The sequence below is a fragment of the Homo sapiens genome, chromosome 2 (assembly GCF_000001405.40).
Source record: "Homo sapiens chromosome 2, GRCh38.p14 Primary Assembly".
NCBI lineage: Eukaryota > Metazoa > Chordata > Mammalia > Primates > Hominidae > Homo > Homo sapiens.
This window is the reverse complement of record NC_000002.12, coordinates 171783068-171796692: the sequence shown is the minus strand read 5'-3', so window position 1 is coordinate 171796692 and position 13625 is coordinate 171783068. Positions and strand designations below refer to the sequence as shown.

The window sequence follows — 13625 nt, the reverse complement described above, 5'->3', positions numbered from 1 at the left end:
CTATCATGAGGTTTTAAAAATGTATACTAATTACTAAAAAAAAAAAAATTTTAAGAGATAGGGGTCTTGCTCCATTGCCCAGGCTGGCCTTGAACTCCTGGGCTCAAGTAATCCTCCTGCCTCAGTCTTGTGAGCAGCTGGGACTACAGGCATGTGTCATTGCACTTGGCTTGTATGTTAATTTTTAAAACATATACAAATCATTAATTGTCAGAAGTTTTCCTCCTTCAAACATAGGCATGAAACAAACTTACAGATGTGTGCCTTGCTATAGTGTCATTGATTATTTGCACTCTTACTTGCTAGATTATATGTGTTTATAAATGCACATCAATTGAGTTTTGTGGTTATGTCCTGTGCGTTGTTGGGATTTGGTATGTGTGCTAGGTAACTAATCTTCAAAGCATACAACAATTAAGGTGTATGTATTTTTAAAATGTAGTCCCAGCTGGGTGCAGTGGCTCACGCCTGTAATCTTAGCATTTTGGAAGGCCAAGGCGAGTGGATCGCTTGAGCCTAGCAGTTCGAGATCAGCCTGGGCAACATGGTAAGACCCCCATCTCTACAAAAAATACAAAAATTAGCTGGGCGTGGTGGTGCACGCTTGTAGTCCCAGCTACTCGGGAAGCTGAGGTGGGAGGATCACCTGAACCTGGGGAGGTTGAGGTTGCAGTGAGCTGTTCCTGCCACTGCACTCCAGCCTGGGTGACAGAGTGAGGCCCTGTCTCAAACAAACAAACACAAACAAAATGTAGTCAGTTATTTCTTTTTATTGTACCATTTTTGTAAAGTTTCAGTAGAAAGCCTATTACTTGTATACTTCAAAAAATTTGAAGCATTGTTAAAGGAGTATAAATCTCAATCAATTATTTCTAAAAGAGAGAAGGAAGAGGAGGAGGCAGCTGTGGGGTGGGGGTGGGGGACACGGATTGGAGTACTCCTGCCCAGCAGGATGTTATAATTTACTAATGATTACAAACATGAAAGACCTTAGTATTTATTTAAACATAATGTCCACATTTAACACTTGGCACCCAGGGACTGACACTGTCTGGTAGTGGCAAATTTGGGGGAATTAGAATAAAAATTTGTGGTTCTATTCATTTTTAAATCTGCTTTAGTTAAAACATAAAGCAGATATGCAACCATTATTTAAGATAGTCTTTGCAACCATTATTTAAACAAGAGATTTCAGGGAAGTAGTAAACTTTTTCAATTGATTTGGTCTTTAATACTAGCTACAGGAGCAATTACTTGGATTATCATTTTAACATAATTTTTCATGCAGCAATCCTTTTGAAAGTATTGTTTGCTTAGATTGAAACATTAAAGTGCTTCCTTCTGCCTGCAGTACAACAGATTCAAAGAGAGAGAAAGGCAGGCAAATCAACATGTAAAATTGGGTCAGTACATCGTTGGGGGACCTGTGTGCCAGTGGTCTGGATTGTGTCGAGTTGAGGAGTTAGAGGAAACCATGAGAGAGAGATAGCAAATTGCTGCACCTCCCTGCTCGAAGGACAAAGAGGGGATTAAGGCCCTGGGGAATCCAGGACAATAAGCTGTCCATGAAGAGGGAAGGAATTTAGTATCAGTGCTGGCAATTTTGAATATTGAAAGGAGTTAAGGAGTCAGGATTGGAATAGGGGTAGTTGGGGGATTTATAGTCCCAAGGCAATTAGGAAAATGGGCTGAGCCATGTTCCTGCCCCTTGGAAGCGGGTCTGGGAGGGCTTTGGGTTTTAGATAAGTGAGCAGGAATGTGGGCAAAGGTTGAGCACTGAAGTGCCATTGAAAGCTGCATGTGAATTTTTAGGTGTTCTATACCTGTGGAATTACAGTGCCCCAGATTTCATATTTCACATGTGATTATATACAATGATTATAATGATATGAATATCATTATGAATATTATATGAGTATGGTTATGATTACATAATATAAACAGCTACAGTTGAAGATGTACAAATGGGATTTTTCATTTCATGAAAGGAGATATATATTTTATTTATTTTTATATATCCATAGTCACACACATTTTTTTCTTTCTTACAGAAACCAAAAAAAAGAAGTTGGTAGAAGTTTTGTTAAACGTTTTTTTTTTTTCTCTACTAGTTAACAGATTTCAGATGCAAATATACTCTCATTATCCAAATTCAAATCTCTGTCACTCACCACAGGAATATAGAATGTGGCTTTGATCTTGAGGGTGTTGTACTCATGGTAACTAGATGTTCCATTTCTCAGCTTTGCCTTGAAGAGTTTTTCTGGTTTTGTCTTGAAATGATACTGAAATTTATCTTTCTAAATTCTTCCCTTTTGTGTGGGTGTAGCCATGTACCTGTATCAGAGTTTTGCTTAGGATAATACATTTTAGAATTGGAACTGGAGGAGACTTTTCCCCTTCTGACTTAAGGCACCAAAGTAGTTTTAATTGCTCTACAATCCAAGGAAGCAGAAGCAAGTGGGTCTGCTGCCAAGAACGCTTACCACAAAGAGGAAAAAAATAATTGTAGCTCTGAATTTTAGCTCTGGCTTGTAAAATATGACAGTCTTTTACTATCTCTTTTTCTTTCATTGAGTACCTTGCTGCCACATCTGGCTCCGCTTTTTTTTCCAAATGGGTTTATTTTGTTATTTTGAATATGGCTGGGGTGATCCTGGAAAGACTGGTCTGAGAAACAATCTTGACATTTCAGCTAGAAACAAACCCAGAGGTAGATTGATCTGAGACAGAGTTTGGGACCATCCCTCTGAACCTCTCCAGGGTTGGCCTAAGTGTCAAACTGTCATTCCCCCCTGAGGAAGGAAGTTTCACCTCCTTCTTTTCAAGATAGCAAGATGTGGAGGCTTTGCTGGATTTTCCTTTTTTACGCTGCCAGTCGGGCTCTGATGTGGAATCTGCCTGTCTCTTCTCCCTTGCCTACAGGCTGGAGGCTCTCAGGTCATTTTTACCAACCCATTGGAGATAGTGAAGATTCGTCTGCAAGTAGCTGGAGAGATCACCACGGGACCCAGAGTCAGCGCCCTGAATGTGCTCCGGGACTTGGGAATTTTTGGTCTGTATAAGGTGGGTAGGTTTAGGTTATAATGTACTCAATAAAATATGAAAGAATGTGGAAACCAGACTTCTTCCCTCCAAGTTGAAAAGCAATCTTGTCCAGCAGGGTAGTCTGTGGAGCAGAAAATCAAACAAAAAGAAAAGAATCAGGACACTTGTATGAGAGGCAGTGGGATACACATGCAGCCTCTCCTGTTGTCATCAGGCTTTTATGAAACTGCCAGCAAGGAGGCCAGCACCGCAGACCTGCTGGCCTCAGGCTCACAGCCTTTCATTTGCTGGGGGGCTTGGGAAAACTTTCCCTGGTGCTCTCTTTGGGTTGGTTTAGGGCTTCAAAATAGTCTTATGTTTATTTTCGGTCTGATTATCTCTATTGTTATCTTCCCAGTGGGAGCTTTTGTCTTAATAATTTGACCACAGTAAAACAGTAGTAGAGTTTGGTAGGATTCAGGTCTTTAAGAAGTTAAGTGGTAGGATTTGTCAATAATGAATTCCATTAAAAAAAAAAAAAACAAACCAACAACAGAGTGTACTGTACTTTAACAAAATGCCAGTCAAAAGATTCCTTCCCTGCGGGTATACTTACTCCCATCATTACAGATCAGATGTAATGGAGCAGAAGCTATTATTTTTCTTAAACAAGGAAGAATATTTCTTTCCATTCCTTTGCCTGGTATAAGGGGAATACGTAAATTTAGCCACCATAGCCAAGTGTGTTTCCACAGCATCTGATATAGATCCATCACTGCAGAAATGTGTAAATTTGTTTCGGTAACTGCAAATTAGAAATTAGAAATTCTCTAGATTGGAATCACACAGCTACAGGGTTCTCTGGAGACCAGCAAACAATGATGCCTGTCTCAAGAGAGTTTCGTACACATTTTTGCTTCCTCCTCCCCACTCCCAATTTCCATCCTTTTTGAATTCCCTTTGAGAGATGAATTTATTAATATTGCTTCTCTCTGTATTATCCTTTAGCGAGTCCTTGGATTTTTTTTTTTTCAATGTTTGAGTTTGTCTTTTTTTAAAAAAGCCAGGGCTGGGAGCACTGGCTCACACTTGTACTCTCAGCACTTTGGGAGGCCAAGGCAGGGGGATTGCTTGAGCCCAGGAGTTCAAGACCAGCCAGGGCAAAATAGCAAGACCTTGTGTCTACCTTAAAAAAAAAAAAGAAAGAAAAAATTAGCCGGCACAGTGGTGCACACCTATCATCCCAGCTACTCAGGAGGCTGAGGTGGGAGGATCACTTGAGCTCAGACGGTCAAGGCTACAGCAAGCTGTGATCCTGCCACTATGCTCCAGCCTGGGCAACATAGTGAGACCCTGTCTCAGAAAAAAAAAAAAATTAAAAAGAATAAAACAGAGTCATTAAAAAAACAAGCGCCAAGGTGGAGTGTTTGCCTAGCTAGGTAGTGGAATGGTGTGGGCTTCTGACAAAGCTGAGGGAGGTGTTCTTTGAGACCTCAGTCATTGGGACAAGCTGCCCCTGGGTAATGATTTTCTACTCCTGTGGAAACCTGCCGCTAAAATATTTTGTCTGCTATTTAGGACATGGGGAATGAGGAGAGAAGATTTGGGTTTCTTTTCCCCCTGCTCTAGAGTAGTTACTTTTCCTTCACCACTGCCTATAGCTTTTTACCTGGCACTGCGGGGACTCTCAGCTGATGTAAAAACTTAAGAGGGTAGATCTTGTGTGTTTTTACCATAGTAAGAGATTAATTAATTTTAAAAACTCTGAATCTATATAAGAAATGCCAGAAAGTTCTTAGTTTTCAGAATACTATCATTACCCAGTTATTAACTCTAGGACTGCAGGATTCACCATGCTTTCACAAGCTTTGAGATATGCAGATTTCCCTATTCCCCACTTATCTCCCGCCTCCCCCATTTCCCTTGCACATCAGTTCTAATGCTGTTTAAGGGACACCTCAGGCTTGTCACTGAGGGACACCTCAAGCTTGTCACTGACAAATGTCACATGGATCCCATTTGGGCATTCACACTCAGTTTCACACTGTTTTGCACTATTTCCTCACTGTGTGACAGGGTGCCAAAGCGTGTTTCCTCCGAGACATTCCCTTCTCTGCAATCTATTTTCCTGTTTATGCTCATTGCAAACTACTTCTGGCTGATGAAAATGGACACGTGGGAGGTTTAAATCTTCTTGCAGCTGGAGCCATGGCAGGTAACTACAAATTTTTTTTTAACTGAAAGAATTCTCCCATTATTTAAAAAGTACAGAATCTCTATGTACTTTCCCCCTTTATTTCTGGAAGTATTATTGTTTGTACCTGACTTAGTTTAAATATCACTTTTTCTCCTTTGTGGGATGTGCTGTAATTCTGATGAGAGTTAATTACATTTGCATAATGTGGATAAACAGCTTAATGCAGCTTAGCAACTCAGAGCCAAATTAGATCTGCCCATCTAAATTGGGCTTTCATCATTAACATGTTTCTTAGTTTCCTGTGCCCCTGAAACCTTGAGTACAGCCAAGCTAAGCATTAAGGTGGGAAAGTTTTTCCTCAAATCAGTTGCTTAGCTGTATCTCATGCTCATGCACAGATCTAGCATGCTCTTACTTTCTCTCTTCTGTATATTGGAATCTACATGATTTGGCCGAAAATTGAGCTTTTGTCGTGAAGCTGTCCCTCTTCTTCCTACCATTGCCCTCATTAGACCAAAGTAAGCAGTACCCCTCAGCAAACCACCTTGAACTCAATTTTTGTATTTTTTCTAATCGTTAACACTTTGTCATTAGCCAGGTGTAGTGGTGCGTGCCTGTAGTCCCAGCCAGCTACCCGGGAGGCTGAGGTGGGAGGATCACCTGAGCCTGGGAGGTCAAGGCTGCGGTGAGCCGAGATGACACCACTGTACTCCAGCCTGGGTGACAGAGTGAGAGCTTGTCTCAAAAAAAAAAAAATTTGTCTTTTATTAATAGTTATTTGCATAATTGTTATCCTCTGTACTAGGCTAATAGCTTCTTGAGGGCAAGAGTTTCATTCTCTTCATCCTTGCCTTTCCTACGTGGCCAGTGTAATAGTAATAGGTGCTCAATAAATGTCAATAACATGAATGAAAACCTTCATGTCGTCTAAGATACCAAATTAGGCACAGAAGAGATTTCATTTGAAAGAGGAGCCTTGTAAGAGCAGGGAGGTACTAAGATGCTTCCTTCTGACCTCATAGGTACAGCCTGACTCTTGAGTTAGGAAGGAGCTGACTTGGAATAGAAGGAGAGAACCAGGTGTCCTTGGCTGCACCAACACTCTGAAAAGACAAAGGAAGGAAGGGGTGCATGTTTGCTCTCTATACAACCAGTAATGAACCATTACAGAGCTCAGTGTGGCTCTGACCAGCCAGGCTTATGTTCACTGTGTTGCTCTTCCTTGCTGGGCTCATTCTCCTCTGGAGGCTCTGGCTAAACATCAGGGCAACCTGAGCAGCTCCCGGAGTGTGCTGTGCTTGTTGTGTGGTAGGAGCCCTTGGGCCTGAGAGTGTTGCGATGGACCACGTTGTTCTTGCTCGTGAAGACAGGGATGACTTTGATCATTAAGAAACGGCCCCAGGGAACTTACCGCCCTTATTTGGGGCCCAGCAAGTCCTTTCTCCTCTAGCAATGGTAATTTTAGTCAGTTTTGTGTTTAAAAGCCAGTAAAGTTACCTGCTCAGTCTTGGCAGTGAGCTGTTTGTAGCAGCCCCTTTCTGGTACTTACCAGTCTCCCACTTTTTTTTTTTTGGTGAGACAGAATCTTGCTCTGTCACCCAGGCTGGAGTGCAGTGGTACAATCTCTGCTCACTGCAACCTCTGCCTCCCGGGTTCAAGCGATTCTCCTGTGTCAGCCTCCCAAGTAGTTGGGACTACAGGCGTGTACCACCATGCCTGGCCAATTTTTGTATTTTTAGTAAAGACAGGGTTTCACCATGTTGGCCAGCACAGCTGGTCAGAGCCACACTGAGCTCTGTAATGGTTCATTACTGGTTGTATAGAGAGCAAACATGCACCCCTTCCTTCCTTTGTCTTTTCGGAGTGTTGGTGCAGCCAAGGACACCTGGTTCTCTCCTCCTTTTCCAAATCAGCTCCTTCCTAACTCAAGAGTCAGGCTGAGGCCGAGCTTGGTGGCTCATTCCTGTAATCCCAGCACTTTGGGAGGCCAAGGCGGGCAGATCACGAGGTCAGGAGATCGAGACCATCCTGGCTAACACGGTGAAACCCCGTCTCTACTAAAAATACAAAAAATTAGCCGGGCGTGGTGGCGGGCTTCTGTAGTCCCAGCTACTGGGGAGGCTGAGGCAGGAGAATGGCATGAACCTGGGAGGCGGAGCTTGCAGTGAGCCGAGATTGTGCCACTGCACTCCAGCCTGGGCGACAGAGTGAGACTGTCTCAAAAAAAAAAGAGAGTCAGGCTGTAAATGTGAGGTCTCAAACTCCTGACCTCAGGTGATCCTCCCATCTTGGCCTTCCAAAGTGCTGGGATTACAAGCGTGAACCACCACACTTGGCCCAGTCTCCTACTTTTAAATGGGGGCAGCATTTGCCTTCCAGGCTTTTCCTTGTGCTTTCCAATCAACAATGAAAAACAGCCAGAGAAGAAGAGTCTAATTGTGGACAGGTGTTTGCAAGTGGTTGAACCAAGTAAATATTTCCATGGAACTGTCAGCACCGACTTCTTCCCCATAGACATTTGATGTCAGTTTTCAGAATGAGATTATTTTTTCTAATTTTTACCAGTCAAGCTTTGCTAGCAGGAACTGAGAACATTCAGAAGTCTGCCTCCAAAGGCAGGAAGTTTACCTAGTTTCATCTGAATAGGGTGCAAGGCCATGCCAAGGGGAAGTATTTGCATTATTCCCTAGCAGAACCTCGTACAAGGCTGCCAACTCCATCCGCCTAGTGAGGATACAGTGATATTCAGGCCAAATTGAATTTCTTCCCCCGGGGAAGATTATTTTGCTCCTTTGCTCTCTGTTTTGTTTTATAAGTAAAAGGTGTGGTTGTGAAATCCATCTTTTGTGTCCTGCTGCTGATCAATCTCAACATGACCCCAGGGAGCTCGGGCACAGGGGCCTTTCCCTGACCAGCTCCCCTGTTGTTTCTTAACTGGCTGCCTGGCCACCTCTTGCTCCAGTTGTAATGACTTTTGTCATGTAAGCATGTCTGAAAGGAGTCACAGTCAACTCTCAAGGTAGCCCTTCAAACAAGCGAGTGATTATAAGTATTGATATTCACTTCCCACACTACGACAAGAATCAGCAAAAACAGTAGTTTGGTGTCAGATACATTTAGTGACTCACTAAGATGACATTATCATTTTTTTATACATAAAAATACTTGTATCTTATTTAAGAAAAAAAGGAGGTAAAATAATTGAAACTGAAAGGGAACGCTTGGGAATTGTCTTATTAATATTGCTACTTTTTTTTTCTCTCTCACAGTTATTTGGGATCATGCAATGTAGAGTGATTTTTTTTTTAATTCAGGAAAAAATAATAATAATTTTCCCCTGATCACACTGCAACAGCTAATAGGCTTCTATGCCCTTTTCCCATTAATGGCCAGACATCTATGTAAAGAGTTTTGAGTTCCGCTCAAGTGGTTGAAGTTGCAGGCTCTATAGTAGATGTTAGCAGTATTCCTATCTTTTATAAGGTACTCTAGATAAATTAAATGTGGTTTTCTCCTGAAAGGTGTCCCAGCTGCATCTCTGGTGACCCCTGCTGATGTCATCAAGACAAGACTGCAGGTGGCTGCCCGCGCTGGCCAGACGACATACAGTGGTGTCATCGACTGTTTCAGGAAGATTCTCCGGGAAGAAGGGCCCTCAGCATTTTGGAAAGGGACTGCAGGTAGGCAGGGGCTGGAGCCATACAGAATGGCTGGCTGGCTCTAGCGTCCTCCCCTGTGACTCAGTGGCTATCTTTACCACATTTGTCCTGGTTTCAAGTCTCCCCTGCCCCTGCTTCTCTTTTTCAGCTCGAGTGTTTCGATCCTCTCCCCAGTTTGGTGTTACCTTGGTCACTTATGAACTTCTCCAGCGGTGGTTTTACATTGATTTTGGAGGCCTGTAAGTCAGCTGCTCAACTCCTTTACAAAGAAATCACTAAGTCCAAAACAAATGTTTGTTCTGTCTACAAAAGCATTGTTGCAACTCTTAGAAAACTGATAAGACAGAACCTTTAAGACCAATGCATTTAAAACAGTGAGCTTAAGAAGCATTTGTGTTAAGCAAGTAAAACTTGACAGAGTGACATCGTACATAATATTAAGCAGCTATTTGGGGGATTTTAGGGAAGCAGCAAATTTTTTTAAAAAAGACAGGATATCCTCTGTTGCCCAGGCTGGAGTGCAGTGGCATGTTCTTGGCTCACCGTAGCCTCAACCTCCCGGGCTCAAGCGATCCTCCCACCTCAGCCTCCTGAGTAGCTGGGACCACAGAGGCATGCCACCACACCCAGCTAATTTTTGTACTTTTTTATAGAGATGGGATCTCACTGTGTTGCCCAGGCTGGTCTCGAACTCCACCAGCCTTGGCCTCCCAAAGTGCTGGGATTACAGACATGAGCTACCGTGCCTAGCCAGGAGGCAGCAGATTAAAATGCTGTGTAAATAATTGTCTTTTTTCACATAAGCAAATACTGAACTTCATGGCGTTCTCATTATGTGGATTTTATTATATGGCCCTTTCACAGAAGTAATGTAAATGTATACCAGTAACACTTTTGTGCATTTTCTTTCAAAGTCCCAAGCCCTTTTGCATCTCTGATATTTCATTATTCACCACAATTTATTATTAGTTAGGTGCAGATGTTCTTGAAGCTAATTTACTGGAAAAACCAATAGGTTTGAAGAGAGATTTTGCCCATGGATATAATCACTAGTGAGCTGTAGGCCAGAAATTGGGCTTCTAAAAGCTTACCACTTGAAGCTTGCACTGAGAAGAAGAATTACAAGTTGAATTTTCTGGGTGGGGAAGTTGTACCCAAAGCAAGCAATTATTAGCTTTTCAGCAGAAGACCAAGTACCATTCCTGAGTCCTCACATCAGAAACCTGTGAACTCCTCTGTGCCCAAAGGCCATATAGGGAATCAGCTGCTGAACCAAGTGGAGGGACCTATGCAAAAAAAGTGAGAACAGCAGTCTTACAGTTGCATTGTAGAAATGTGAGGCTTCAGGCTTTTCCATGCTTCTTTCATCTTCTGTAAAAGAACTAAAGCTATTTCTCTCTCTCTCTTTTTTTTTTTTTTTTTTTTTTAGACGGAGTCTTGCTCTGTCGCCCAGGCTGGAGTGCAGTGGTACGATCTCGGCTCACTGCAACCTCCACCTCCCAGGTTCAAGTGATTCTCCTGCCTCAGCCTCCTGAGAAGCTGGGACTAAGGGCGCCCACCACCGCGCCTGGCTAATTTTTTTTTTTTTTAATATTTTTAGTAGAGACGGGGTCTCACCGTGTTAGCCAGGATAGCCTTGATCTCCTGACCTCATGATCCGCCTGCCTCGGCCTCCCAAAGTTCTGGGATTACAGGCGTGAGCCACCATGCCCGGCCTATCTCTCTTTAAATAATTTAATTGATAATCTTTATGAGTCTACTACATAAAAAGTTAACTTCTAAAGTTATGTCAAAAGAAAAATATATACTTTAAAAATTACTTTCATATGTGCTAAGTGCAGAAAATTTGGAAAACCATAAAGCATAAAAGAAAAAAACCAGCCTGGGTGTGGTGGCTCACACCTCCCAGTGCTCTGGGAGGCCAAGGCAGAAGGATTCCTTAGACCAGAAGTTCGAAACCAGCTTTGGCAACATAGCAAGACCCCATCTTTACAAGAAGAAAAAAGAAAAAAATCATCCATAATCTTACTACCCAGAGAGTCTTCATATTTGAGTGTCTTTTCTTCTGACTTTTTTCCTATGGATTTGTTTATATATGTATGCAAGCATTGGAAATAAGGCCATTTCTCTTGTAAATCAAATATGTAGATAAGTTGCTGTCAAAGCAGCTATAAATCATGACTGTGGTTTCTAGTCATGCAGCACAGATGCCATGGAAATGGTTGAGAGAAACATTCTTCTTTGTGGCACATGGGTCAGACCGAAAATGTCCAGCTGTAAGCTGCGCTCATCCACCTTGAGCATGCTAACCATTGGCTTTTTTTCTGTCAACAGCAAACCCGCTGGTTCAGAACCAACACCTAAGTCACGCATTGCAGACCTTCCTCCTGCCAACCCTGATCACATCGGTGGATACAGACTCGCCACAGCCACGTTTGCAGGCATCGAAAACAAATTTGGCCTTTATCTCCCGAAATTTAAGTCTCCTAGTGTTGCTGTGGTTCAGCCAAAGGCAGCAGTGGCAGCCACTCAGTGATGAGACAACTGTTGAGTGTGGCAAAATGGCGCCTTGAAGAAAGAGGCCTAGGAGAGCAGCCCTGTAATGTATCCAGTCAGCTGCATGGTACTGACTGAGCTGAGGAGTCAAACTCTTCTTTCTGTATGACATATACATATACTTGTTTATAAAATAATCATTTGCCCAGGGAAAAAACCACAACGCTGTTTCAAGCTTTAGTCTTATGTGTTGAAATGTTTTTGTAAGCCTTGGCATGAATTAGTGTTCTAGACTCTGCTTTGCACAGCTTGCACTTACAGTGATTGTACATATTGTACATCTTTGTACAGAGACATCTTGGCACCTCATCCCAACAAATCACATTTGTAGAAATGTAATGCGGTTCTGAGTGGCTTGAAATGTACAGAATGTTTTGAAAGTGTTTTATTAAGAATCACACAAAAATAAATGTATTAAAATTAAATTCATTCTCTTATTGGTGACTTATGGAAATAAAGCATCAATATTGGATGTATTTAATTCCTAGTTTGTTTTCCATTCTGGAATAAAAAGGTATTTGCTGATAAAAGGCATAACGAGACATAGTGCTGCTACCACTGAATAAGTGATACTTTGGAAAGATGCATGCCAGTGGATGCCAGAGGACCAGGCTAATGACTTGTGTGTGCTGATGTGTTTCCATTTGTATTTAATGTGTGTAGACCCTCCTCTGTTCATCAATCAAAAAGCATTTCCTAGGCAGCTCCTCGCCTGTCAGTGTGCATATGGAAACAGGGACATCTCCATCATTACTGGCTTAGTTTTGCTTTCCTTTGACACAGTAAGGCAAAGGCCAAGCTTTCAAAAGAGTAAAGGATACTTTCACAATTTCCCTTCATATGGATATGATTCCAGTCAAAAATAAAATGCACACCAAAATGTATACATGTAGTTGGATTTTTCTTTGTAAATATACTGATAATACTTTTTGTTCTGATTGACTACTGATTGCAAATAACTCATGATCGGGTTCGCCCTTTCTTCCACCTTTATAGAAAACAGAAAAATTAGTTTTAGAAAGGGCTAGCGCAGAGTGAAGGGAGGGAAGAAGAAAGAGAAGAAAAGCTCTATATGGTGATTTAGTGGGGTCTAGGTTCTTACTTTGGAATCCAAATGCAAACTGTTCTAAAAGTCACTCATCAAGGGCGTGATTACTAATTTGGATCTAAACATAGATCTTGACAGCCACATCTACACTTTGATATGGATGTGATTTGATGTGCAGTATCAGAATTTATTTACCTTACCAAAGTGCTCTGGGAAGACATTATTGCTACTGCCAGTAAGCTGGGATATGAGAATGTATGCAAATATTTTCAAGAGGCGAGCCTGGAGACAGACCAAGTTACTTAGTATCCTGCACAGTGCTCCTCGATTGATGGCTGACAGCCCTGTGACTGCAACTGTAGGCTCCCTGGAGGCCCTCCAGGAACAAAAGAATTAGCTTTGAAAGCAAGTTATTTTCAAATGTATTAGATTGGTCTCATGGGAGTGGAACAAATAATAATACAGTTGTTTTGCTACTACCACTTGTTAGAAATATATAAGTAGTCCATGGATATGTGATTACAAAAGAATCCTATGTATGTATCTAGAGTGAGATGGGAAAGTGTCCCGCTTACCCTCCTTCTACCTCCACCACTTCCTGGCCCAGAGGTAATCACTGCTAACAGGTTACAGCATGAATATGTAGTCTGTTTTTCATAACTCTATAGAAATATATGTACATATTTATATTTTAGAAACAGGATTATGTTATGTGTGTGTTATTCTGTGTCTTGCTTTTGTTCACTTAATGTGTTTTGGATATCTTTCCATGTCAGTTTATAAAGTTTTATTTTTAATGGCTGCATAGTATTTCATTGTATGGGTTATAATACTTTTCATAAATCTTCCCTTATTGATATTTATTCATTTTTTTCACTACTGCAAACAATGCTGTAGTGAATGGCAGACATCTTTGTACACATATCTTTAGTGCATGTGAATTTCATTAGGATAGATATTTGGAATTGCAATTGAAAACTTTTAAGACAAGCTTTATGTTTTTATACATATTGCCACATTGTTCTTCAAAAAGAGTTATTAATTTACTTTCCTTTGACAGCATATGAGAATGCCTATTTCTTTGCAACCTCAGCAAAGAGGGATATTATCAGTCTTTTACATTTTCAGCAAATCATGA

The 13625-nt window shown here is 41.6% G+C and overlaps 1 protein-coding gene across 3 annotated transcripts in view; it reads left to right on the top strand.

The window, feature by feature from the left end:
- Positions 1-13288, top strand: part of SLC25A12 (solute carrier family 25 member 12) — a 110840-nt gene extending 97552 nt beyond the window's left edge. For all 3 annotated transcript variants that reach the window (NR_047549.2, NM_003705.5, XM_047446142.1), the window contains 5 exons: positions 2926-3066; positions 5104-5242; positions 8746-8904; positions 9032-9122; positions 11218-13288. Coding sequence is in view for 2 of the 3 variants with exons in the window: in NM_003705.5 (NP_003696.2) it covers positions 2926-3066; positions 5104-5242; positions 8746-8904; positions 9032-9122; positions 11218-11419 (732 nt within the window). In the remaining variant the exon portion in view is untranslated. The remainder of the gene's footprint in view (positions 1-2925; positions 3067-5103; positions 5243-8745; positions 8905-9031; positions 9123-11217) is intronic.